General features: G+C 48.0%; 2 protein-coding genes and 1 pseudogene across 18 annotated transcripts, besides 9 other annotated features; 1 reads left to right on the forward strand and 2 right to left on the reverse strand.

Moving 5' to 3' along the window:
• Positions 1420 to 2267: an enhancer, noted in NCBI's record as "H3K27ac-H3K4me1 hESC enhancer chr12:56730556-56731403 (GRCh37/hg19 assembly coordinates)". NCBI's record gives its function as "activates a minimal SCP1, AML or CMV promoter by ChIP-STARR-seq in primed H9 embryonic stem cells {active_cell/tissue: H9 hESC(primed)}" and the evidence as "EXISTENCE:reporter gene assay evidence [ECO:0000049][PMID:30033119]".
• Positions 2845 to 4044: an enhancer, noted in NCBI's record as "BRD4-independent group 4 enhancer chr12:56731981-56733180 (GRCh37/hg19 assembly coordinates)". NCBI's record gives its function as "activates an origin of replication core promoter dependent on BRD2, P300/CBP, MED14 and CDK7 cofactors, and independent of BRD4, by STARR-seq in HCT116 cells {active_cell/tissue: HCT116}" and the evidence as "EXISTENCE:reporter gene assay evidence [ECO:0000049][PMID:35650434]".
• Positions 3523 to 3822: an enhancer, noted in NCBI's record as "active region_6492". NCBI's record gives its function as "activates an Ori minimal core promoter by ATAC-STARR-seq in GM12878 lymphoblastoid cells {active_cell/tissue: GM12878}" and the evidence as "EXISTENCE:reporter gene assay evidence [ECO:0000049][PMID:35858748]".
• Positions 3532 to 5058, forward strand: IL23A (interleukin 23 subunit alpha). Its single transcript, NM_016584.3, has 4 exons — positions 3532 to 3854; positions 4074 to 4172; positions 4339 to 4485; positions 4591 to 5058. The coding sequence occupies exons 1-4, from the start codon at positions 3693 to 3695 to the stop codon at positions 4750 to 4752; spliced, it is 570 nt and encodes a 189-aa protein (NP_057668.1). The 5' UTR covers positions 3532 to 3692; the 3' UTR covers positions 4753 to 5058.
• Positions 3533 to 3827: a silencer, noted in NCBI's record as "tiled region #7971; HepG2 Repressive non-DNase unmatched - State 18:Pol2, and K562 Repressive non-DNase unmatched - State 14:Gen5'". NCBI's record gives its function as "represses a minimal TATA promoter and a strong SV40 promoter by Sharpr-MPRA in HepG2 and K562 cells {active_cell/tissue: HepG2 | K562}" and the evidence as "EXISTENCE:reporter gene assay evidence [ECO:0000049][PMID:27701403]".
• Positions 4310 to 4479: an enhancer, noted in NCBI's record as "experimental_29688 CRE fragment used in MPRA reporter constructs". NCBI's record gives its function as "activates a minimal promoter by MPRAs in K562 erythroleukemia cells, with activity observed for the introgressed 12:56733531 variant allele {active_cell/tissue: K562}" and the evidence as "EXISTENCE:reporter gene assay evidence [ECO:0000049][PMID:34662402]".
• Positions 6245 to 24755, reverse strand: STAT2 (signal transducer and activator of transcription 2). 17 transcript variants are annotated; one of them, NM_001385115.1, is made up of 24 exons: positions 24706 to 24755; positions 21089 to 21226; positions 20780 to 20933; positions 20356 to 20439; positions 20091 to 20180; positions 19924 to 19999; positions 19426 to 19511; positions 19114 to 19262; positions 15940 to 16098; positions 15746 to 15838; positions 15477 to 15536; positions 15060 to 15080; positions 14745 to 14838; positions 14237 to 14284; positions 14074 to 14157; positions 13811 to 13909; positions 13572 to 13677; positions 13400 to 13452; positions 13177 to 13271; positions 11467 to 11603; positions 11090 to 11272; positions 10794 to 10851; positions 8473 to 8783; positions 6245 to 8179 (listed from the first exon to the last, which is right to left on the reverse strand). In NM_001385115.1, exons 2-24 carry the CDS (start codon positions 21217 to 21219, stop codon positions 8037 to 8039), a joined length of 2514 nt encoding a protein of 837 aa, NP_001372044.1. In that variant the 5' UTR covers positions 21220 to 21226; positions 24706 to 24755; the 3' UTR covers positions 6245 to 8036. The 17 variants fall into 17 exon arrangements, 15 of the variants coding, with proteins under 15 accessions (NP_001372044.1, NP_938146.1, XP_011537000.1 ...); NM_198332.2 differs by having other exon boundaries at positions 13572 to 13707; XM_011538698.4 differs by having other exon boundaries at positions 13572 to 13731.
• Positions 12042 to 12091: a silencer, noted in NCBI's record as "silent region_4558". NCBI's record gives its function as "represses an Ori minimal core promoter by ATAC-STARR-seq in GM12878 lymphoblastoid cells {active_cell/tissue: GM12878}" and the evidence as "EXISTENCE:reporter gene assay evidence [ECO:0000049][PMID:35858748]".
• RNU7-40P (RNA, U7 small nuclear 40 pseudogene) lies at positions 17038 to 17097 on the reverse strand (annotated as a pseudogene).
• Positions 23622 to 23821: an enhancer, noted in NCBI's record as "active region_6493". NCBI's record gives its function as "activates an Ori minimal core promoter by ATAC-STARR-seq in GM12878 lymphoblastoid cells {active_cell/tissue: GM12878}" and the evidence as "EXISTENCE:reporter gene assay evidence [ECO:0000049][PMID:35858748]".
• Positions 23622 to 23822: a biological region, named in NCBI's record as "ATAC-STARR-seq lymphoblastoid active region 6493".
• Positions 23653 to 23822: an enhancer, noted in NCBI's record as "experimental_29690 CRE fragment used in MPRA reporter constructs". NCBI's record gives its function as "activates a minimal promoter by MPRAs in K562 erythroleukemia cells, with activity observed for both the introgressed and non-introgressed 12:56752874 variant alleles {active_cell/tissue: K562}" and the evidence as "EXISTENCE:reporter gene assay evidence [ECO:0000049][PMID:34662402]".

Below are 24803 nucleotides of genomic sequence, written 5' to 3' on the forward strand. Positions count from 1 at the left end.
CCAGCTACTTGGGAGGCTGAGGCAGGAGAATCATTTGAACCTGGGAGGCGGAGGTTGCAGTGAGCCGAGATGGCACCATTGCACTCCAGCCTGGTCAGTAAGAGCGAAACTCCGTCTCAAAAAAAAGAAAAAAAAAAAGAAAAGAAAAAAGGATACTGTGAGGAGACACAAGAGCATCCATGACATAGATTATTTAGCTCAGCTGTAATTACTGTTTCTAATACAGTAATATTAGATGGTGATCTGCCTGCCTCGGCCTCCCAAAGTTCTGGGATTACAGGTGTGAGCCACCGCGCCCAGCCTTTTTTTTTTTTTTTTTTTGAGACAGGATCTCACTCTGTTGCCCATGCTTAAGCGCATTGGCCCTCTCACTCACTGTAGCCTCAACCTCCTGGGCTCAAGCGATCCTCCCACTTCAGCCTCCCAACTAGCTGTAACTACAGGCACTGGCCACCAAACCCAGATAATTTTTTTTTTCCTGTAGAGGTGGGGTTTTGCCACGTTACCCAGGCTGGTCTTGAACTCTTAAGCTCAAGCGATCCTCCTGCCTCGGCCCCCCAAAGTTCTGGGATTACAGGCATGAGCCACCATACCTGGCGTACAGTATCCAGTGTAATGCAGTGATTAAAAATTCAGGATCCAGACCGGGATGGTGGCTTGTGCCTGTAGTCCCAGGGGTGGAGGTTGCAGTGAACGGAAATGGTGCCACTGCATTCCAGCCTGGGTGACAGAGTGAGACCCTGTCTCAACAAAACCCCCCAAAAACCAAGAACAAAAAAGAATGCAGGATCTGATGCTAGATTGTCTGCATTAGAACTCTAGCCACTTAAGCTGGGTGTGGTGGCTCATGCCTGTAATCCCAGCACTTTTGGAGGCCGCAGGCGGGTGGATCACCTGAGATTGGGAGTTCAAGACCAGCCTGACCAACATGGAGAAACCCTGTTTCTACTAAAAATACAAAATTAGCCACCGGGCATGGTGGTGCATGCCTGTAATCCCAGCTACTTGGGAGGCTGAGGCAGGAGAATCACTTGAACCCGGGAGGCAGAGGTTACGGTGAGATGAGATGGCACCATTGCACTCCAGCCTGGGCAACAAGAGCGAAACTCCATCTCAAAAAAAAAAAAAAAAAAAAAGGAATTCTAGCCACTTAGAAGCTCTGTGATCTTGGGCAAATTGCTTATCTTTGCACCTCAGCCTCCTCCTCTGTAATATAGGGTAATAGTATCTACCTTAAAGGGTTGTTGTGAAAATTAAATAGTTTAGTACATGTAAAGTGCTTAGACAAAGTATTTGGCATTAAGCGAGAGTTGGATATATTAGCCATCATTATTAACCACCTGGGGGAACTTCAACTGATTTGGAGTCTAGGCATACAACTGGAAAGACCTGCCTAGGAGTGTCTTGTGAATGCGATTTGCATAACGGTTTAGGCCCAGCTGACGTCAAGGGCTCCTTATAGCTCCAGGTCAGTTGTAGCCCTGGATGTAGTTCCTGCCACGCAACAGTCCCACAATCTCCCCACCAACCCTTCTTCCTACCCAACTCCTGCAGCACCAGGAAGTGAAACAAAGAGGCAGAGCCCTGTGCCTCCAACTCACCCTTGTCCCTCTCATCCCATCCCCCAGGCTCTACTTCCTCCTCCTTTTCATCTTTCTTTCATCTCTTATCTTTTAGGGCTCCCAGAATGGGGACCAGAGATGGGAAGAACATAGGAGACGTTGTACACAAGTAAGGTGAACTCCCTATCCTGCCCCCTCCCCTTTCCTTATTCCATTGGTGTCCACCTTATTAGGGAGAGAGGCAAAACAGTTCTCACCCAAACTCAGATAATTCTCTGATGCTGGAAATGTTTAATCTAAAGGGTAGATTTCCATTTTTTTTTTTTTTTTTTTGAGACAGAGTCTTGCTCTGTCACCCAGGCTGGAGTGCAGTGGCGCCATCTCGGCTCACTGCAACCTCTGCCTCCTGGCTTCAAGCGATTCTCTTGCCTCAGCCTCCCGAGTAGCTGGGACTATAGGCGCCCACCACCGTGCTGGCTCATTTTTGTATTTTTAGTAGAGACAGGATTTCACCATGATGGCCAGGCTGGTCTCGAACTCCTGACCTCATGATCCGCCTGCCTCGGCCTCCCAAAGTACTGGGATTACAGGCGTGAGCCACTGTACCCGGCCCTTGGTAGATTTAACTTAGAATCGTAATATTTTTTTTTCTTCTCTTAGCTCATACCTACAGAATCATAATATTTGAACCAGAAGTGTCATTGGGCAGTTTTGAATAGCTCTAAGGGAAGGGAGACCTCCATTCAGGACAAGTTTCTCAGAAGAAAAGGGTCAACCTCTTGGGGGAGGCTTTGGGAGCCAGCTGTGTGGTCACCGATGGCCTCATTCTGACGTCTTCGAAATTGTTCTGGGACCCTCCACTGGGGTCGGGGCAGTCCCGGCTTTGGACCACCTTCCACTCCCACGCCCAACCTCACACTCTTAGCTGTTTCACTCGATGTTGCATCATGGAGGGTGATGAAATCGGTGTCAGTGGATTTTACCCATGGATGCAACAAGCTGAAGGACCAGCCAGAGTCATTGACAGTGCACCTTCGACTACCCAGAACTCCTGGGCTTCCTAGCCATGGGGTCCAAAGCTGGGACTGCCCCGACCCCAGTGGAGGGTCCCAGAACAATTTGGATGACGTCAGAATGAGGCCATGGGACTAGGTGCTGGAATGTCTAAGTTGAACTTCCAGGCCTTATTTGCACTAGTCCTGAAAAAAACATCATCCAACTCTTATAGAGCCTATGAAATCTTGGGCCACTAGGGTTGAGGAGTCAGGTGGTTCTTAGTCAATAACCCTCTTCCCACAAGAGCCTTTCTAACCTCCACTGTGAGGCCTGAAATGGGGAGCAATAAGACCTCATACTGGCTTCCCAGTTCTCCAAGTTCCTTCATGCGCATTCTCTCCCATGAAACCAGGACCATCCAGTTGAAATAATGTTGTTTCCAACTGAGAAAAAGAAGCCCGTTTATTCCTAATAGGGGGCATCAGGTAGGAATCAAACTTCATTGCAAACAGCTCACCATCCTATTGGGAGATGAATGGATGTTTCTCTGTTTTGCTTTTTCCTCAAGCAGGAGGAAGTGAGGAAATTAGGTTTGGGGTGGGGTAGGGGTATAGCTTTGAGAGGCAAAAAGATCAGGGAAAGATCAAACAGGAAGGAACTTGAGACCAGATTAATTTAAATATTTGTTCTCCCTTACCCCTCCCACCCCATCCCCGCTGTGCCCCCCATCCCCGCCCCTTCTATAGCTATTTCGATTCCTGGAGAGCATTACACATGTGTCCCATCCCAGGCCTCTAGCCACAGCAACCACACTACTCATTTCCCCTGGAACTGAGGCTGCATACCTGGGCTCCCCACAGAGGGGGATGATGCAGGGAGGGGAATCCCACCTGCTGTGAGTCACCTGCTGGTATAAAGGGCGGGCCTTACAATGCAGGGACCTTAAAAGACTCAGAGACAAAGGGAGAAAAACAACAGGAAGCAGCTTACAAACTCGGTGAACAACTGAGGGAACCAAACCAGAGACGCGCTGAACAGAGAGAATCAGGCTCAAAGCAAGTGGAAGTGGGCAGAGATTCCACCAGGACTGGTGCAAGGCGCAGAGCCAGCCAGATTTGAGAAGAAGGCAAAAAGATGCTGGGGAGCAGAGCTGTAATGCTGCTGTTGCTGCTGCCCTGGACAGCTCAGGGCAGAGCTGTGCCTGGGGGCAGCAGCCCTGCCTGGACTCAGTGCCAGCAGCTTTCACAGAAGCTCTGCACACTGGCCTGGAGTGCACATCCACTAGTGGGACACATGGTGAGTGGCAGCCCCTGGAGCCTAACAGGAGTCCAGGCTCTCCAAGGCTGTGGCAGAAGACCGTGACCTTGAGTGGAAGCTGGAGGGTTGAAGGCCATTAGGGAGTAAGAGAGGACAAGAGAGTAGGGTTCCTGGGAGAGTCATGGGCCTGAGGGTCCAGGTTGGCTTCAGAAGTACTATCTTACTTCTTCATTCTTTCCACCTCTTCCTTCATTCCAGGATCTAAGAGAAGAGGGAGATGAAGAGACTACAAATGATGTTCCCCATATCCAGTGTGGAGATGGCTGTGACCCCCAAGGACTCAGGGACAACAGTCAGGTACCACTGGGATGTGGCTGGGCAATGAAGGAGAGGGGACTGAGAACATGGCTGGGTACCATGGTAAACCAGAAGTTGTGTCTGAAAATAGTAAGAAACTGGGTGAGTCTTCAGTGAATGGAGTAGGAAGAGGGTGTCCTCTTTCATTGCTTTCTTTTCTCCCTAGTTCTGCTTGCAAAGGATCCACCAGGGTCTGATTTTTTATGAGAAGCTGCTAGGATCGGATATTTTCACAGGGGAGCCTTCTCTGCTCCCTGATAGCCCTGTGGGCCAGCTTCATGCCTCCCTACTGGGCCTCAGCCAACTCCTGCAGGTATGAAGTAGGGGCGTGGAGGATGGGGGCTTGCAGGTGTCAGAGACAGAGGGTTGGGGGTTAAGGGTTTAGAGTCTTCTCTGACTGTGTCCTATGTCCTTTCAGCCTGAGGGTCACCACTGGGAGACTCAGCAGATTCCAAGCCTCAGTCCCAGCCAGCCATGGCAGCGTCTCCTTCTCCGCTTCAAAATCCTTCGCAGCCTCCAGGCCTTTGTGGCTGTAGCCGCCCGGGTCTTTGCCCATGGAGCAGCAACCCTGAGTCCCTAAAGGCAGCAGCTCAAGGATGGCACTCAGATCTCCATGGCCCAGCAAGGCCAAGATAAATCTACCACCCCAGGCACCTGTGAGCCAACAGGTTAATTAGTCCATTAATTTTAGTGGGACCTGCATATGTTGAAAATTACCAATACTGACTGACATGTGATGCTGACCTATGATAAGGTTGAGTATTTATTAGATGGGAAGGGAAATTTGGGGATTATTTATCCTCCTGGGGACAGTTTGGGGAGGATTATTTATTGTATTTATATTGAATTATGTACTTTTTTCAATAAAGTCTTATTTTTGTGGCTATATGAGTCTAATTTCTAGGCTCAATTGGGAAAGAGAAATCGATGGAAAAATAAGGCCAAGAGACTACAATATGCATCCCTTTCTTCTATTCTGAAGGGCTATGGTGGAGAATGATATTTTCTCATGACCCCCTGGTGTATAGAATAACTGGGATCTCTTTAGTATTAATTCCTATATGGCTGAGCAAGCAGAATGGGATTACCAGATTAGGAAGTGGGATCATACCTAAGGGTCACTTGCTCCCTGATCCAGTGTCTCCTTCCCTGCTTTCTTGGCCAAGAGTATATCTGATCAAAGACGGGAGTCCTGATCATTGCAGGATCAAAAGTCAGAGTTCAGCTTTGAGCAGGAAGGGCATTCCAGGGAAATGAAGATAAATATCCTAGAATAATGGGACTTTCCTCTCAAAGGACAATTGGAATCCCTTTTTTTTTTTTTTTTTTTTTTTTTTTTTGAGATGGAGTCTCATTCTGTTGCCCAGGCTGGAGTGCAGTGGCGTGATCTCTGCTCACTGCAACCTCCGCCTCCCACGTTGAAGCGATTCTCCTGCCTCAGCCTCCCAAGCAGCTGGGACTACAGGCACGCACCACCACGCCTGGCTAATTTTTGTATTTTTAGTAGAGATGGGGTTTCACCATGTTGGTCAGGCTGGTCTTGAACTCCTGACCTCAGGTGATCCACCTGCCTCGGCCTCCCAAAGTGCTGGGATTACAGGCATGAGCCACCATGCCCGGCCTTGGAGTCCCTTTGGAAGTTTGGTAACTCAAGGGTAGCTGAAATTCTTTGAAAAAAAGAAAAGATGAGGGGAAGTGGCTAGTGATTATTTCCTTTCCTTTTTTTTCCATAGTCACAGCATCAAAAAGTGTGGGTTTGAAGTCAGAAAAATCCAGACAGGTTTGTGTTTTGGCTTTGCCAACAATCAGCTGAGTGACAATGAGACAGTTATATAACTACTCATCCCTCCCCCCACAATGCATATATAGCTCCCAGCACCCCTAGAAGAGTCTAACGGACAGGAGGGGCTACTCCAAACAGGAAGGGAAGAAGAAATATGACAAGAGGAATGTAGAGGGGTGGATGGAAGAGAGGCCACAATTTTCTGACTTCATTCCTGTGCAGCTTGTTGGTGTCCCTAAGAACATTAGCCTTTGTGAGCAGGGAAATAAAGAGGATCAGAGATGAGACATTTCCAGATCAGCACAAAGTTTATTAGCCATTTCTGCTCAGAAGAGCCCCTTTCTGAACAGGACTGTTCCTCTGACATAACAGACAAGAAACAGCCACCTGTGCAGGGCCTTTCCTTTATATCTCAAGCTACATCAGGAGAACATCTTGGAGCAATGTCAGTTGCCCCCTGGGGTTCCCTGGGAATAGCTAAGGTGTGAGATTGTCCAGAGTCCTATGACAGACCTTCAAGGTTTTAAGTTCCACAGACTTGGACTTTGTCCAGGTCCACAACCAACGAATAGAAACCTTCCTTTCAGGTAAACAACATATTGTACAAAAAAGGGAGGATGATAACATAATAGAGAAAGAGCTAAGACCCATTGCTTCTCCTCTGTAAAAACACCAAACTTTATCCAATACTATAAAAAAGAAATTCCTGCTGGGAACAGTGGCTCACGCCTGTAATCCCAGCACTCTGGGAGGCCGAGGTGGACAGATCACTTGAGGTCAGGAGTTCGAGACCAGCCTGACCAACATGGAGAAACCCCGTCTCTACTAAAAATACAAAATTAGCTGGGCATGGTGGTGCAGATCTGTAATCCCAGCTACTGGGGAGGCTGAGGCAGGAGAGTCACTTGAACCCGGAAGGCGGAGGTTGCAGTGAGCCGAGATCACACCATTGCACTCCAGCCTGGACAACAAGAGAGAAACTCCATCTCAAAAAAAAAAAAAAAAAAATCCTGGCCAAGCACAGTGGCTCATGCCTATAATCCCAGCACTTTGGGAGGCCAAGGCGTGAGGATCACTTGAGCCCAGTTCAAGACCAGCCTGGGCAATATAGCAAGACCCTGTCTTTAAAAAAAAAAAATAGGGCATGGTGGCGCATGCCATGGTGCTAGCTACCCAGGAGGCTGAGGTAGGAGGATTGCTTGAACCCAGGAGGTTGAGGCTGCAGTGAGCTGTGATTGCACCATTGCACTCTAGCCTGGGCAACAGAGTGAGACCCTGTTTAAAAAAAAAAAAATCCCCAGCAATCCTACCATCCCCAGCCTCCAGGAGTGATCTGTCTCCTAAGCATTGAGAAAGTGGAGACTAGGTAGCATAAACTAGTGTGCAAAGCTTCACACTCACATTAGATTGGCAGGATCATTTTATGGGGGAGGAACAGGTACAGCCAGCTTAGGGGCAGAGTAGGGGAGGAGACTGGTAAGAAAAAGAGGTCTACTTCCTATCCATCCCTTTCTTCAGGGTAGAGTTTCACATGGTAGGCTAAGGCAGAAAGCTCTCAACCCCTGCAGGAAAAGAAGAAATTCAGGGCTTGAGCCAGGAGTAAAGGAAAGAAGAAAGCAAGTTATCCTAGACATGAAGGAATGGAAGAAAGAAATGGAGTCCTATCCTGTGTCTGTGCTCCCCACCAAGGGCCAATGCCAGTATGCACCAGTTTAGCCTAACCAACTATTAAAATGTTGAAATCCTTCCATACTGGAAAGAAGCCACTGCCCTGAGCCCTCCAAGTACCTGTCAACTGCCCTGGCCTGCCCCCAGGACCCCTATACCTCCCAGCACAGCAGGCAGCCTCCAGGATCCTATTTAGACCTATGGCTCAGCATCTGTTCTGATTCATTGTTGTCCCCTCTGTACCCATGTTATGCTTTCACCTCTCACCCCAATGGAGTCACACAGGCCTGAGTTTGAACAGTTAACACAGCTTGGAAGGGACACATGCCTGATTCCCATCCTTGGAGAACAATATCATGCTATGAGGAGTAGGAAGGGCAAGAGATATGAAAAGAACAGAGGAAATGTGGTTCCTAGAAGTCAGAAGGCATCAAGGGTCCATCAGTGTAGAAGTGGCTGGGGCGGGAGACGTAAACCTCATCCACGGTGTTCTGGCCAGCCAACAGTGGGTCACCATTCGGCATGATTTCTTCAATCTTTACACAGTTTCTGAAGACTAGGTAATCCAGAGAGAAAAGTGAGGCCCCGATCTTAGTTAGGAGTTCCCAACCCAGCAGGGAAAGGGAGGGAGGATGGCAGGAAAGGCCTGGGAAGAGCCTGAGTGGGAACTTGTGGGATGAAAGAGCAGGGAGGTGGGGGAAGGCATGTGTAATTCCTAAAAAAAGGAATCACAGAATGGACCTCTCTCCAATGAGGAGCTTGGAGTTCAGCTTTTTCTGTAATGGGAGAGGGAGAAGAGGTAGGAAAGGGAATGTGTGCCATCTTCCATAGCTCCATCTCATCACTTACTTTCCATTGGCTCAGTGTTCAAATGTCTCAGATCACAGGGCAAATCTGGCTCTGGCACTGGCTGTGATACAGGTCCTTGGTCTGGCTCTGGCACTGTTTGTGATACCATGCATAGTGTGGGCTCTATCACAGGCTCCAGAGTGGACTCCAGCACAGACTCTAGCTCTGGCCCCAGATCCAGCCCTGCCTTCAGCAGTGGCTCTAAGTCCAGGCTGAGCTCTGGCTCTGGCACCAGCCCTAGTTCCAGCTCTAATGACTCCAGCTCTGGCTCTGGCTTAAGCTCCAGCGGTTGTTGCAGTTCATCCACCTGTCTGGATACCCAAAGACAGACAAAGGGGCAGGGCTCAGTGGTTCAAATGAAATCAGGAATGGTAGAATAAGCAGAAGCTAGTCTAAGAAGGCAGTAGGGCGGAGGGCTAAAGAGCATGGGTTTGGAATCAGGCCTCCTGGAGTTTGAATCCTGGCTGGGGGACCTTAGGCAAGTGGCCTAACTTTTCTGAGCCTCAGATTTATCATCTATAAATGAGAACAATACCTAGTAATTCTTGAGAGGCAGTAGGGTGGTTAAAATCAGGGCTACGGAATCTAACAGACCTGTATCATTAGCCACGTACCTTAGGTACAAAACTTGACTACTCTAAATCCAGTTCCTTAGCTGAAAACAGTAACAGTGTTTACTTCACAGGACTATTTTGTAGATTCAATAAAATGAGAAAATAAATGCAAACCATTTAGCCTAGTGCCTGGCGCATAATAAACTCTCAGGCCAGGCATGGTGGCTCACACCTGTAATCCAAGCACTTTGGGAGGCTGAGGCGGGCAGATCACTTGAGGCCAGGAGCTCATGACCAGCCTGGCCAACATGGTGAAACCCTGTTTCTACTAAAAATACAAAAGTTAGGCCGGGTGCAGAGGCTCACGCCTGTAATCCCAGCACTTTGGGAGGCCAAGGTGGGCGGATCATGAGGTCAGGAGTTTGAGACCAGCCTGGCCAATATGGTAAAACCCTGTCTCTACTAAAAATACAAAAATTAGCCAGGTGTGGTGGTTGTGCGCGCTTGTAGTCCCAGCTACTCAGGAGGCTGAGGCAGGAGAATTGCTTGAGCCTGGGAGGCAGAGGTTGCAGTGAGCTGAGATCGTGCCACTGCACTCCAGCCTGGGCAACAGGGCGAGACTCTGTCTCAAAAAAAAAACAAAAATTAACCAGGCATGGGTGGCGCTCGCCTGTAATCCCAGCTACTCAGTAGGCTGAGGCAGGAGAATTGCTTGAGCCTGGGAGGCAGAGGTTGCAGTGAGCTGAAATTGCACCACTGCACTCCAGCCCGGGCAATGAGAGTGAGACTGTCTCAAAAAAAAAAAAAAAAAAAAAAAAAATTCTATCCCCAGCCAAGTGCCATGGCTCATTCCTACAATCCCGGCAATTTGGGAGGCCAAGGCAGGAGACTGCTTGAGGCCAGGAGTTCAAGACCAGCCTGGGCAACACAGTGATACCCCATCCCTACAAAAAATTTAAAAAATTAGCTGAGTGTGATTGAGTGTGATGGCGTGTGCCTGTAGTCTCAGCTACTTGGGAGGCTGAGGCAGGAGCATTGCTTCAACCCCTAGGTCAAGGCTGCAGTGAGTCATGATTATACCACTGCACTCCAGCCTGGATAACAGAGACCCTGTCTCAAAAAAAAAAAAAAAAAAAAAAAAAAAAAATATATATATATGCGGGGTGTGGTGGCTCACGCCTGTAATCCCTGCATTTTGGGAGGCCAAGGTGGGTGGATTGCTTGAGTCCAGGAGTTCAAGAACAGCCTGGGCAACATGGTAAGACCCCATCTCTACAAAAAATACAAAAAAAATTAGCTGAGTTTGGTGATGCATGCCTGTATTGCTTGAGCTCAGGAGGTCGAGGCTGCAGTGAGCCAGGATCACACCACTGCACTCCAGCCTGGGCGACAGAACAAAACCCTGTCTGGAAAAAAAAAAAGCTCCATGCTTGCATCAAGTAGGTACCCATTAACACCAGTGATTATGATCATTATTATCCAGAAACCCCTGTGGAGACAACCTAAGGATGGCAGCAGAAAAATATGAGATAGGAGAGACTAGAACCAGAAAAAACTAGAGTGGGCTAGGAGGGAGGGAAGGCTGGGGAGACTGGAATAGGGCAGCTTAGGAGAAGGCAGAAAGGAGAGGCTGTGGGAATGGCAGGGCAGAGCAGCTGACCATCATCCTGGTGCTCCACCCAGGAGAAGGTAATGCCCCCTTTTGACGATTCACTGAAGCAGAGCCAAAAAGGATTAGGGAGGATGAATGAAGAGTTCATATCTCACCTATTAGAGACCACAATGAGCCTGTGTTTCAGGTATTTCCTCCGTTCCTGGAGATTAACTGTGAGGAACATATACAAGAAGCAGAGAAGATCAGTGGGCCAGACATATAGCCTGAGGTTCCCCTAGTGCAGATGGTCCTGGCAGTCTCATCCCCATAGTAACCAGCAGTATCCCATGGACGAATCCCTTAATTCCTCTAGATATCAGTTTTCCCATGCTTTAAAGGAAGGAGTGGGATCTATGGATGTCTGGTAGATCTCTGCAATCTAGCAATGAAGTATGTCAACGATTCCCACCTTTCTCCTGGTAGTAGCACCCAAAAGCTTCATCCCGGGGGATTCGGGGATAGAGGAAGCGCAGTGGGTTTTCAGGTATATTCTCCTCAGTGAGCAACTGGTAATGGCGGATGATTTCAGTCAGCGGGAGTGACTGCAGCACCTCCTTCGTGTACGGTTGCACAGAGTAGATGAGCACCTTGTCTGGAGAGTGAATGCAGGAACAGGCGGGCTTGAGGGAAGAGGCCGGGCCTTGGAGCTCTCTGCTCTGGCTGCCCAGTCCCAAACCAGCTGAGGGATTCAGTTCAGAGCCAGGGAAGCCAAGGGCAGGCAGAGGGGCAAGAGGGGAGCCAGGCAGAAAGGAGAGGCTGTGGGAATGGCAGGGCAGAGCAGCTGACCATCATCCTGGTGCTCCACCCAGGAGCAGGTAATGCCCCCTTCTGACGATTCACTGAAGCGCAGTAGAAAGGTGCCAGACATGGTCTTCTTCAGCAGCCGGCGCTCCTGGCTCCGACTCACAAAGCCCATGATGCGTCTGGAGCACAGAGAGCAGCTGTGAGACACCGCCCAACACCCTGCCCCACCAGGCCCCTGCCTCCCTGCTCCCCTTGTATGGAGAAACAGCCCAGGTTTGGAATCCAGGCTTTGGACCAAGCCCTGCCACTTAGCTTTTTTTTATCTTTTACAAGTCACTTCACTTTGCTGACAATAGCCACCTTCCGAGGGTTTGAAGTACGAAGATTCAGTGAGATCACACAGATGAACAGCACTTTTTTTTTTTTCTGGGAGACAGGGTGTCATTCTGTCACCCAGGCTGGAGAATAGTGGCATGATCACAGCTCACTGCCACCTCGACCTCCCGGGCTCAAGCAATCTTCCCACCTCTCAGCCTCCAGAGTAGCTGGGACCACAGGTGCACACCACCATGCCTGGCTAACTTTTGTATTTTTCGTAGAGACGGGGTTTCACCACGTGGCCCAGGGTAGTTTTGAACTCCTGGGCTCAAGTGATCTGTACTCCTCAGCCTCCCAAAATGCTAGGATTACAGGCATGAGCAACCACGCCTGGCCACAAATAGCACTTTTTTTTGGTTTTGTTTTGAGACAGAGTCTTGCTCTGTCACCCAGGCTGGAGTGCAATGGCACGATCTTGGCTCACTGTAACCTTCTCTCCTGGGTTCAAGCGATTCTCCTGCCTCAGCCTCCTGAGTAGCTGGGATTACAGGCGCCCACCACCACACCCGGCTAATTTTTGTATTTTTAATAGAGATGGGGTTTCGCCATGTTGGCCAGGCTGGTCTCAAACTCCTGACCTCAGGTGATCCACCCACCTCGGCCTCCCAAAATGCTGGGATTACAGGCGTGAGCCATCGTGCCTGGTCATGAATAGCACTTTTAAAAGCCAAATGCTACACAAGTTGGTAGGCAGTGTGGTGGAAAGAGCATGGGCTTGGAGTCACATAGGCCTGGATTTGAATATCAACTGTGTCCCTTGGGTAAGTTCTTTAACTTCTCTGAAACTCAGTTTCCTCACATGAAATGAAGCTGGCAAAACCCACCACTCAGCATGGTTGTAAGGATGAGATGAGAGAATTAATGAAGAGCACCCATCAAGCTCTGGAATGTAGGAGATGCTTCACAAACACTGTTTATGGCTATTATTGGTTGTTTTTTTTTTTTTTTTTTTGAGACGGAGTCTTGCTCGTCACCCAGGCTGGAGGGCAGTGACGCAATCTCGGCTCACTGCAAGCTCCATCTCCCAGGTTCACGCCATTTTCCTGCCTCAGCCTCCTGAGTAGCTGGGACTACAGGTGTCTGCCACCACGCCCGGCTAATTTTTTGTATTTTTAGTAGAGACGGGGTTTCACCGTGTTAGCCAGGATGGTCTCGATCTCCTGACCTCATGATCCGCCCGCCTCGGCCTCCCAAAGTGCTGGGATTACAGGTGTGAGCCACCACACCCGGCCTTATTATTGTTAACAAATGTGAGGAGACGTGGCCTGCACCTGTCTTTGCTCTCTCTCCCTGCTTGCCACGTGAGGGTGCAGAGACTCCACTCTCAAGCCCGGAAAGCACAAGCCCATGAGGGAAGGGTGACCAAGGCCTTACCCATCATTCCAGAGATCCTTCAGGTGGTCATGTACCAACTCCAGAATTTTGTCCAGCCATGTCCAGAATGGTAACTTGCCAGGAGGGCTCTCTCGCTGGAGGAGGAATGGAAAGGTAGCAAAAGCTGAGGAGTTGCCTCTGGTGTAGGGAAGGAGGGACGTGGGAAGGCCAGTATTTGGAATGTGGGCTAGATCCAGCAGCTCCACAGGATTCAGGGAGTTACCTTAGTGAAGTCAGCCCAGGACAATAATGGATCCTCAGTCCTACAGTTCTGCCCTGTGGGACAGATAGCCACAGACAGATGATGAGGGAAGCCAGGGGTCCTGGGATAGATAGGACAGAGGGACAGAAAAGACTAAGGCTGGGGAAAGGCTGAGAGAAAAGGAAATCTGTACCGAACAGCTTGTTTCTCAGCATGCTCAGCTGGTCTGAGTTGAGGCCTCGGCCAACATAGGAGGAGAACTGCCAACTGAGAGCAGGGCCCAGCAAGCTCCAGGGGGCCTTGGGGGGGTTGGAGAAGAACTGCTGGTTCTGCAGGGGTGGGAGCAGTGTAGGCTGGCTCAGAAGCAACCTATCACACCAAGCTTCCACACCCCTCCTCTCGCGCCTTGACCTGTCGGCCCCACTCCCCTACCTGAAGGTTTGGGCTGAGCAAATTGAACCAGAGAACTGAAGCCCAGGCAATTGAGAGCTGGTTCATGTTGGAAATAATCACCACAGGGAGGGTGTCCGTCTGGGGAGAAGACAGGAGTCACAGAGAGGGATGTGATGTTTCTAGCTGCAGGTATTTGTTAGAGGAAAGGAGTGCTAACCCACCCCAAGAGGCTTCTGTTTATCCCCTTCTTATGCCTTCTTCCAAAGCTGCTTTCTCTCTCCTTGCCCTCCATTTTCACTCACTTTCAGCTCCTGCTTCAGACCCTGGTAGGTATATTTGACCGTGAAGCTGATGATGTGCAGTTCCTCTGTCACACCTAGTGGCCCCTGGGACAGCCAAAGACATAGTCATCAGAAGGCTCTTTGGCAAGCTCCCCCTGCCTCGAGTCCTCTGTCCAGATCTCACCTTATTGCTGCCCTTTCCTGAACCACCTGAACGTTGCTCCACCAGAGTCTGTGAATTGAAGGGAAGGAGAGAAAATGCCAGAGTGGGCACCCTAGTGTCCCTGGAACCCCTGTTTGGCTTCAAGACCTCTCAAGCCCTGGGAACTTCCCCCAACCCCTGTTCCTTTGGACTAAAAGCAGGCCAGCTATGGTGGCTCATGCCTGTGATCCCAGCACTTTGGGAGGCTGAGGCGGGTGGATCACCTGAGGTCAGGAGTTCGAGACCAGCCCGACCAATATGGTGAAACCCTATCTCTACTAAAAATACAAAAATTAGCCGGGCATGGTGGTGTGTGCCTATAGTCTCAGCTACTCAGGAGGCTGAGACAGAAGAATTGCTTGAACCCGGGAGGCGGAGGTTGCTGTGAGCCAAGATGGCACCACTGCACTCCAGCCTGGGGGACAGAGTGAGACTCCGTCTCAAAAAAATAAAAATAGTAATAAAAGCATAGGTCACAAACTATTCTTACCAGGTAACCAAAGTCCCAAATCAAACCCTGACTCTGCCCCTTCTCGGGGGTCAAAGTTTTCTGGTTTGAAGTCAGAATGTTGAACTTCCGGAAGCTGTTCCAGGAGGAAGATACATGGAGACAAGGAATGGAATTATTCTAAAAACTCAGCAGAAAAAAAAAAACAGAAGTTCCACTTCATTTCAGATCTCGCCATCTCCCTTTGTCCATATCCCAAATCCCCCTCTTCCTTGTTTGTGCCACCAGGGCTGCCGAATGTGGTTCTGCAGGTCATACACTGTACAGATGTTTGCAGTGTCCTTGTCAAGCACCTACCCTTGTAATTGAGGAGGATTCCTGAAAAGAAATAAATTTAAAAAAATCATTGGGCAAAAGAGTATGGAAGTTAGGAGTTTCGTCTTTGGGATCAGACAGACCTCGGTTCAAACCCGACTTGAGCTCACTAGCTATGTGGCCTTGAGAAGAGATGTAATCAGTCTCTCTAAGCCTGTATCTTTGTTTGTACAGTGCACTGGTAATAGTTTATTCATGGGGTTGGTGTGACAATTAAATGAGTAGCTGACATGCTGCATGTCACAAAGTAAGTGTTCAACAAAAGAAATGAATTATAATTTCTGTGAGGTAGGATTGGAAGGAGGAAGGAGATAGCCCTAGGGCCCTGTTGTGAAGAGTGAGTATCTCCTCCACCCCAGCAGCCCGTGTCCTGGCCACCCTTCACCTGCTCCAATTTACCTGTCAATGGAGACTTCCACAGTCAGTGACTCATTGCCTTCCTGGAGTCTCACCAGCAGCCTGGGGGAAGGAAGGGGGATAGGGGAAAGTGGTCAACCTCAACCTTCCGGATAGACTAGATGTTTGAAAAAGAGAAGAGGGATTATAAGAGGTAGGGAGATTGCAGGGAAAGAGAAGAAAAAGCCAAGAGTGGGAAGAGCTGTAAAGCCAGAAAATACACAGTGGCAGGGTTGGAAAAAGGAAGTGGGAATGAGTTCTGGAATGCCAACCTTGTTCGGACGGTGAACTTGCTGCCAGTCTTGAGGATGAGGGGTCGATGGGGAGTTTGGGGCATGCAGGGCTGGGTTTCTACCACAAAGGCTCTGAGGAGAGAGAGGTGTGGAGAGAATATATAGCTCAGTATCTGTAAGAATGGCTTCCCTTGTTCCTTCTTTCCCCCAGGGTTCCTGCCTGGCCTCTAGACCTGTGGAGCAGACGCTGTAGCAACTCTGTGACCTGGGCGTTGCGTAGGTCCACCCCTTTGGTCAGAGGGTCATCCTGATAGCTAACCAGGCAACTCAGTCCCTTCAGCTCCTTCAGCAGCTGCCTCAGGTGAAACAACAGCTTTGCTCCAGCTGTGAACCTGGGTGATAAAATTCAGGAAGAAGGAATCCATGAGTTTCCTGGATTCCCCCATCCAGGTTCCAAGATCTCTCTGTAAATATGTGAAGAGTCAGAAACTGACTGGGGGGAAGAAAAAAAAAGAATCCAGGAAGCATATAAAGGATTATTCAACATGATTCATAATCCAAGAAATGAAAATCAAAGCTATTTTCACATATAAAACTGCTAATAGATTTAACATAACAGTTTTCATATGCTATGTACAACTTATATTAAGCCCTTTCCACATATTAATGCATTTAATCCTCAAAACAACCCTCTGAGGCAGGTACTATTATTTTCCCCACATTACAGATGATAAAACTGAGGCACAGAAAGGTTAAGTGACTTGCTTAAGGTCATACAACTAGTAAGGGATGAAGCTTGTATGTGATCCCAGGCAGTCTCATTGTACAACTCACACTTTGTTTTTTTTTTTTAGACAGTCTCACTCTCTTGTCATCCAGGCTGGAGTGCAATGGTGTGATCTTGGCTCACTGCAACCTCCACCTCCTGGATTCAAGAGATTCTCCTGCCTTGGCCTCCCGAGTAGCTGGGATTACAGGTATGTGCCACCACGCCCGGCTAACTTATATATATATATTTTTAGTAGAGACGGGGTTTTGCCATGTTGGCCAAGCTGGTCTTGAACTCCTGACCTCAGGTGATCCGCCCACCTTGGCCTCCCAAAGTGCTGGGATTACAGGTGTGAGCCACTGCACCCAGCCCCAACTCACATTTTTAACTACTGTACTTTACTGTCTCTATAATTAAAAATAATAATAATCAGCAATGTGGTGACAGGAAAACAACCATACACTACACATGAGAAAATAGATTCGATTGGGACAACTATTCTGGGAAACATTTGTAACTATCTTTTTTTTTTTTTTTTTTTTTTGGTGGGGGTGGGGGTGGGGGTGGTTTCTGGCAAAAACCTGAAAGCCTGCTAGACAAATCCTAAAAGAGCTGTAACACTTGGAACTATCTTTTAAAAAGCCTCGCCAGCTGACATGGTGGCTCACACCTGTAATCTCAGCACTTTGGGAAGCAAAGGTGGGCAGATCACTTAAGGCCAGGCACTCCAGCCTGGGAGACAGAGAGAGACCCTGTCTCAATCAATCAATCAATCAATCAATCAATGCATGCATGCATGCATGCTGGTCCTGTACCATAAGTACTATATGCCTGTTTTTCAATCTACCTGAGCAATTGTGGTATTTTTTTAATCTACTTTTTTTTTTTTTAAGAGGTGAGGGTCTTGCTATATTGCTCAGGCTGACATCAAACTCCTGGACTCAAGCACTCTTTCTGCCTCAGCCTCCTCAGTAGCTGGGTATTATGGTATGTGTACATATATACTTTTAGAGACAGGGTCTCGTTCTGTTGTCCAGGCTGGACTACAGTGGTATAATCATGGCTCACTGCAGCCTCCAACACCTGGGCTCAAGCAATCCTCCCACCTCAGCCTCCTGAGTAGCTAGGGACTACAGGCGTGTGCCACCATGCCTAATCTTTTTTTTTTTTTTTTGAGACGGAGTCTCGCTCTGTCACCCAGGCTGGAGTACAGTGGCATGATCACAGCTCACTGCAACCTCTGCCTCCCGAGTTCAAGTGATTTTCCTGCCTTAGCCTCCTGAGTAGCTGGGAATACAGGCATGCGCCACCACACCTGGCAAATTTTTGTATTTTTAGTAGAGATGGGGTTTCACCACATTGGCCAGGCTGGTCTTGAACTCCTGACCTCAAGTGATCCACCCACCTTGGCCTCCCACAGTGCTGGCCACATGTGTGAGCCACTGTGTCCGGACATGCCTAATTAAAAAACAAATTTTTTTTTTTTGTAGAGATGGGGTCTTGTTATGTTTCCCGGGCTGGTCTCAAACCCCAAGACTGAAGTGATCCTCCTGCCTCAGCCTTCCAAAGTACTAGGATAACAGGCATGAGACGCCATGCCTGGCCTGGTATATTTCTAAAAGACTAAATTATAATAAATTTTTAAATGAGAAAATATTGAAAACAGTAGGTATTTTTCAAGTATGTTGGAGGACACACTAGTGATTTTTCTACAACACAATATAATTACCATAAAATATAGCGTTTCCTGGAAAAAGGTAACAAGAAATTGAAAATAACCTAAATAGCTGAAAATAGGAGTTCATTAATTAAATTATGTTACCACCATATAGGGGACTGTTGTGTGGACATAAGAAATAACATGGATAAATATAATATACTGTTGGCCGGGCATGGTGGCTCACGCCTGTAATCCCAGCACTTTGGGAGCCCAAGTTGGGTGGATCACCTGAAGTCAGGAGTTTGAGACCAGCCTGGCCAACATGGAGAAACATCGTCTCTACTAAAAATACAAAAAAACTAGCCAGGCATGGTGGTGTGTGCCTGTAATCCCAGCAACTCGGGAGGCTGAGACAGGAGAATTGCTTGAACCTGGGAGTTGGAAGTTGCAGTGAGCTGAGATCGTGCCACTGCGCTCCAGCCTGGGCAACAGAGAGAGACTCCGTCTCAAAAAAAAAAAAAAAAAAAAAATATATATATATATATATATATATAAAAAATACTGTTAAGCTTAAAAAAAACCCCATGGATTTCAAAATAGTATGGACAATATGATTCCATTTTTGTTTAATAAGCTAGGTAATAGGTAATTTTCTCTTCCTCCTTCCTTCCTTCCTTTCTTGTCATTGTATTCGTTGCAGTAAAAAAAAAAATACATATATATATATTTCTGGGTGATTAAAAAAGAAGGAAAAACCAGATTGTGGGTTAATTCATTCCTTTCCCTGAAGGAGACTGGGCTCTGGGCTCCCTGCGTGGTGAGGATGAGGAGCAGAATAGAGCTGCAGTCAGCAGGGAGCAGGGCTCATTCTGGGGAGCAGAGACAAATAGAGAACAGTATCTCTTGCTATATGCAGGGCACTGCAACTTACAAATCACAGCGCATGGCGAGGACGAGGGTTGGGGTGGTACCTCTCACCATGTCTCCAGCTGTTCCAACCCGTGGTCAATGGGAGCTCTGATGCAGGCTTTTTGCTGCTGGGCCTTCCACTCCTCCAACTTTGGCAGCAGTAGCTCGATTAGGGTAGTTAATCGGCCTAGCAGTGCTTTGGAGGCATCCAGCACCTCCTGGGAAAGAGATAATGTGAGTGTTGAGCATCTCTCCCTTTCACCCTCCACCACCCAACTGGGGATGAAGAAACAAAGAAGCCAGCGCTAGAGGACCAGGGTCCCCACATCCCTCATTTTTCCAGGTCCTTGTTGCCCACATGTTCTGTCCTCTGTCTCCCACCTTTCTCCTTTTGTCCAGTTCATTGAGAGTTTCCTGCAGAATCTTCTGCTCTTTGGTCTGATGGGGGTCCAGAGAGGGTGTCTTCCCTGGATGGTGGGAACAGGAGTCAGTCCAGGGGTTCTTTCCTCTCCTTCCTGACTGGGGTCTCAGTCAGAGTCAGGAAGGAGGAATTTTGTGGAGGAAGAAAGGGAAACCAAGCAAAGCACAGGCACCTGTGGGACCCTCAGGCAAATTCTGAATGGTCATGCTTGGACCAGACACCCCCTCAAATAAAACACTGTTAGTTTTCCATGCATTTCCTCAACATTTACTGTCTCTCAGCTGCACCTCCAGCTCAGCCTCCACAAAGCACTTCCAGCTTTGCACGGCAGCAGGACTGTAGTCAGTGGGGTGTGTCTGACAGTGACTACTGCTCATCGGAGCTTTCTCCTGTTCACTTCCAGCTCCGGCTTCTCAGCAGGCACTTATCTTTCTCCAGCCCCTCAATGTGCTTCCTACCTTTGGCCTGGATCTTATATCGGAAGCAGAAGACATCCTGCTGGTCTTTCAGTTGGCTGATGGATTTTACCAGCTTCTGCAGAGGGGAGAGGACCCCGATGAGGCTGCTTCTCAGGGAGGTGTTAGGCTGAACGCTGTCAACCCTAACTCCTACCACATCTACTAACCTCCATCATAGCCCTTAAATCCAGGATCCGGGATTCAATCTCATGTTGCTGGCTCTCCACAGGTGTTTCGAGAACTGGCTCTCCTTGTTCCTGAAAAAAGAGGCTCTGAGCACGTTTTAACTCTGGCCTTTCATGCCTTAAGTTCAGGCCTGAAATTATACCACAGGATGTCGGGGGGATCCTGTTCTGAGACAACTCCCTGAGTCCTTTCCATGGTTCCTCTCTACTTCAGGAGTTTCCAACATTACCACTGAATTGTCCTCACCAATTGGGCCCTCTGAGCCTGGATCAAAATTCTTTTTTCTTCCAGAAGGAGGTTAAAGATCATCTCAGCCAACTGGGTAGGATCCTGGGAAAAGGGCTAGAATAGGTAAACAGAAAGGATTGATCCAATTCAACCACTCTCAATGACCTATTGCCCTAGACCCTCCCCACCAATGTCCACAGTATTTCCTCCTCCTTCGGGGTTCTTAGCCCTTTGTCTTTTCACCATAGCATCCTCCCAACAGTGTCACGTATATGCAACCCTTCTCTCTGCTAGTGATTCCCCAAGTCCAGACTCTGTCCTCCTTTCCCCACATTTGTTCCCGTCTCCCTTTCCACCTCCAGGTACTATTCTATTCTCCAAACCTTACTCCTCTATGCTCAGCTCCCAGTGCTACCCCATCACTCCCAACCGTTCCAAGTACCTGAATGTCCCGGCAGAATTTCCGCAAATTGTGCTGCAGCAACAAGGACTCTGGGTCCTGGCTGCAACGGCCACACTCATAGTTCAGCTGATCCAAGAAGTGGAAGAATAGCATGGTAGCCTTGGAATCATCACTCCCAAGTGCAGCTTCCTGCCTGGGCACCAGGAATAAGAAGTATTAGTGTCTCTGCAGTGTTACTGTAGTCCTGAGGCTTTCCAACCCCTTCCTGCCATTAATGATTCCAGGATCCCGGGGGCCCAGAAGTAAGGAACCACCTTTTTCATTCCCCCAACTTCCTGAAGGCCTCACCAGTTCTGGTCTTCAATCCAGACAGCCAAGTACTGTCGAATGTCCACAGGCAGGAGGCTGTGCGAGTAAAGCTGGTGCAGCTGATCCTGAAAGGGGCTGTCAAGATTCTGCAGCATTTCCCACTGCGCCATTTGGGCTCTGCGTCAGAAGGATGAGGGTTCCCAATTGGATATTTTGCTGGACTAAATCATCCATAGTTTCATGATTGTTCATTATTACTAATTTAAAATGTTTAAATTATACAAGTAATAAAAATACAGAAAACATTAAAATATATGTTGATCCTACTGCTAATCTTGGTTCTTTCCCCTCCTCTCCAGAAGTAACCACTGCTATCAGTTTGGTGCATATTCTTCCAGGGAGTGCTACCAGTTGAGTATCTGCTATTCCAAGCATTTTGGATTTCAGATTTGTCCAGATTTTGGAATATCTGCATTACTTACCAGTCGAGCATCCCTAATCCAAAACTCTGAAATCTGAAATGGTCCAAAATCTAACTTTTTGAGCACCCACATGACACTCAAAGGAAATGCTCACTGGAGCATTTTGGAGCCAAATTTTTCAGATTAGGAATGCCTAATCTGTATTTTTTTTTTTTTTTTTTTTTTTTTTTTAAGATGGACTCTCACTCTTTTGCCTGGGCCGGAGTGAAGTGGCATGATCTTGGCTCATTGCAACCACCATCCCCCTGGTTCAAGTGATTCTTCTGCCTCAGCCTCCTGAGTAGCTGGGATTACAGGCACCCACCACCACGCCCAGCTAATTTTTGTATATTTTTTAGTAGAGATGGGGTTTTGCCATGTTGGCCAGGCTGGTCTCAAACTCCTGACCTCAGGTGATCCACCTACTTCGGACTCCCAAAGTACTAGGATTACAGGCATGAGCCACTGTGGTCCCAACCTGTATTTTTTTTTTCTTCAGATGGAGTCTCGATCTGTTGCCCAGGCTGGAGTGCAGTGGTGTGATTTTGGCTCACTGCAAGCTCCGCCTCCCGGGCTCATGCCATTCTCCTGCCTCAGCCTCCCGAGTAGCTGGGACTATAGGCTCCCGCCACCATGCCCGGCTGATTTTTTTTTTTGTATTTTTAGTAGAGATGGGGTTTCACCGTGTTAGCCAGGATGGTCTCGATCTCCTGAACTCGTGATCTGCCTACCTCGGCCTTCCAAAGTGCTGGGATTACAGGCGTGAGCCGCTGTGCCCAGCCGGCCCCAACCTGTATTTTAATAGCTTCAATAAGTGGGCCTTTGTGCTTTAATGGGAATTTTCTTTCTTTTTTTTTTTTTTTTTTTGAGACAGGGTCTCACTTGGTCACCCAGGCTGGAGTGCAGTGGCATGATCTTGGCTCACTGCAGCTTTGACCTCTCAGGTTCAAGCCATTCTCTGCCTCAGCCCCTCAAGGAGCTGGGACTACAGGAGTGTGCCATCATGCCAGCTAATTTTTTGTAGAGATGGGATTTTGCCATGTTGCCCAGGCAGATCTCAAACTCCTGAGCTCAAGTAATCCGCCTGCCTCAGCCTTCCAAAATGCCGGGATTAACAGGCATGAGCCACCATAACCAGCCTAATGGTAATTTTCAAATACACACTAGAGTAGAGTGAATAGTACAAGGATCACCATCCAGCTTTAACAAACATTACTATTTCCACAATCTTATTTCATCTATCTCCCTAATTCATTTATTTTGCATTTATGTGTGTGTTTGTTATTTATATTTGATTGTGCTAAAGCATTTAAAGATCAGTGTTGATGTTAAGTATTTATTACAGCATGATCCCTGCTGGCTCTGAAGCTTTTTTTTTTCTTTTTTTTTTTTTCTTTTTTTGAGATGGAGTCTTGCTCTGTCACCCAGGCTGGAGTGCAGTGACACGATCTCGGCTCACTGCAAACTCTGCCTCCCGAGTTGAAGGGATTCTCCTGCCTCAGCCTCCCGACTAGCTGGGATTACAGGCGCCCACTACCATGCCCAGCTAATTTTTGTATTTTTAGTAGAGATGGGGTTTCACCATATTGTCCAGGCTGGTCTGGAACTTCTGACCTCAGGTGATCTGCCCACCTTGGCCTCCCAAAGTGCTGGGATTACAGGGGTGAACCACCATGCCCGGCCACCTGAAGCTTTTTTAGGAGCCAAATCTTTTTGGTGGTCAGGTAAGTACACCATATAAACTGCCCTCCATATAGGAAGGAGGAGCTCCATTCTAGAAGACATCTAAATGCTGTGCAATGGGTGGCTCAATCCCAAGAATATGACACGTTTATGACCTGTGAATCTTGAATATGATTATAGGTTATCAACTTTGTGAGATCCTGAAACTTCACTTAAAATTGTTGCCTGTAATCCCAGCTACTCAAGAGGCTGAGGCAGGAGAATGGCTTGTACCCAGGAGGCAGGGGTTGCAGTAAGCAGAGATCACATCACTACACTCCAGCCTGGGTGACAAAGCAAGACTCTGTCTCAAAAGAACAACAAATTGGTTTTTGCCTGTCACCAAGCAGGCTGTCCCATGCATCTTTCTCCCCACTGTTCCCTGCTCACTGCCAGCTGGTGTCTATTTAGGAAACTGAAACTTATGCTTGTTGCAGCCTGAGCCTAACAGAACAGAATTCATGCATATTTGTGGTCTAAAAAGGTCACATGATTTTATTACAAAATAAAGAGAAATGCTTGGGGTGGGAGAGTCTTCTACTAACATGAATAACATCAGCTGCCTTTCTACCTCCAGCAGGAACAAGGGAAGGGAGGGATTGGGCAGGGGCTATTTTCATTTTAACTCTTTTAGTAGTGCTTGATTTTTAAAACTATGTATCTGTATTGCTTTTATGATACCAAAAAAAAGTTAAAAAAATGATCAGGTGGCCAGGCATGATGGCTCATGCCTGTAATCCCAGCACTTTGTGAGGCCCACAAGACGAGAGGATGGCTTGAGCCCAGGAGTTTGAGACCAAGCTTGAGCAACATAGTGAGATTCCATCTCCAAAAAAAAATTAATGATGAGGTCCCAATTCTTGAGGATTTAAGTGTCTGATATTAAAGGAGCAAGTCAGCAAAGATTCAAATATGAAAACAAAACAAAAAACCTGGTCTCCCCAAATGGATTGCAAACACTGAGGTTAAGGGCTGAAACAATTTTTTCTCATTATCTCTCATTCTTAGGCACATATTTTGCACTCAAGAAGCTTTTCTGAAATGAACTGAATTTTGTGTGTGACCTTAGGCAATCGTTTCATCTTTCAGTAGCTTATACTTTTTAACAAAACAAGGATAATAGATTTATCTATCTTTGTTTTTAGATTTATCTATCTTTGAACATCGTTTTTTGGTGAAGATAAAAAATAATGCAGAGCAGAGGGAAAAACGTCAGATACCGAACCAACATAACAATGCCAGATTCCGGGTCTCGGAAGCTGCAGGGCAGTTTTGGGAGAGGGGCATTAGGGTTAGGGAGATAGGCTGGACAGAAGAAGATCGAGGACCGAGCAGGCGACAGCTCCTATTTCAATCTGGGGACCGAAGCTACCCTCTCCAGGGGGTAACCCCTGGGGCCAGTCGCCCTTCCCTCGGAGGAACTCTCACTCTCACCCCCACCCCTACCCCAGCACACCCTCTCAGGGCCCGTACCTGATTAGGGTTGCAGTCCCCGCGCCCTCCAATGGCTCTGGTCGCGACTTCCCGTCCCTAGTATGAGCTCGGGTACTAGAACCTCGCGCCCCGCCTAC

Source organism: Homo sapiens, chromosome 12 (assembly GCF_000001405.40).
Source record: "Homo sapiens chromosome 12, GRCh38.p14 Primary Assembly".
Lineage (NCBI taxonomy): Eukaryota > Metazoa > Chordata > Mammalia > Primates > Hominidae > Homo > Homo sapiens.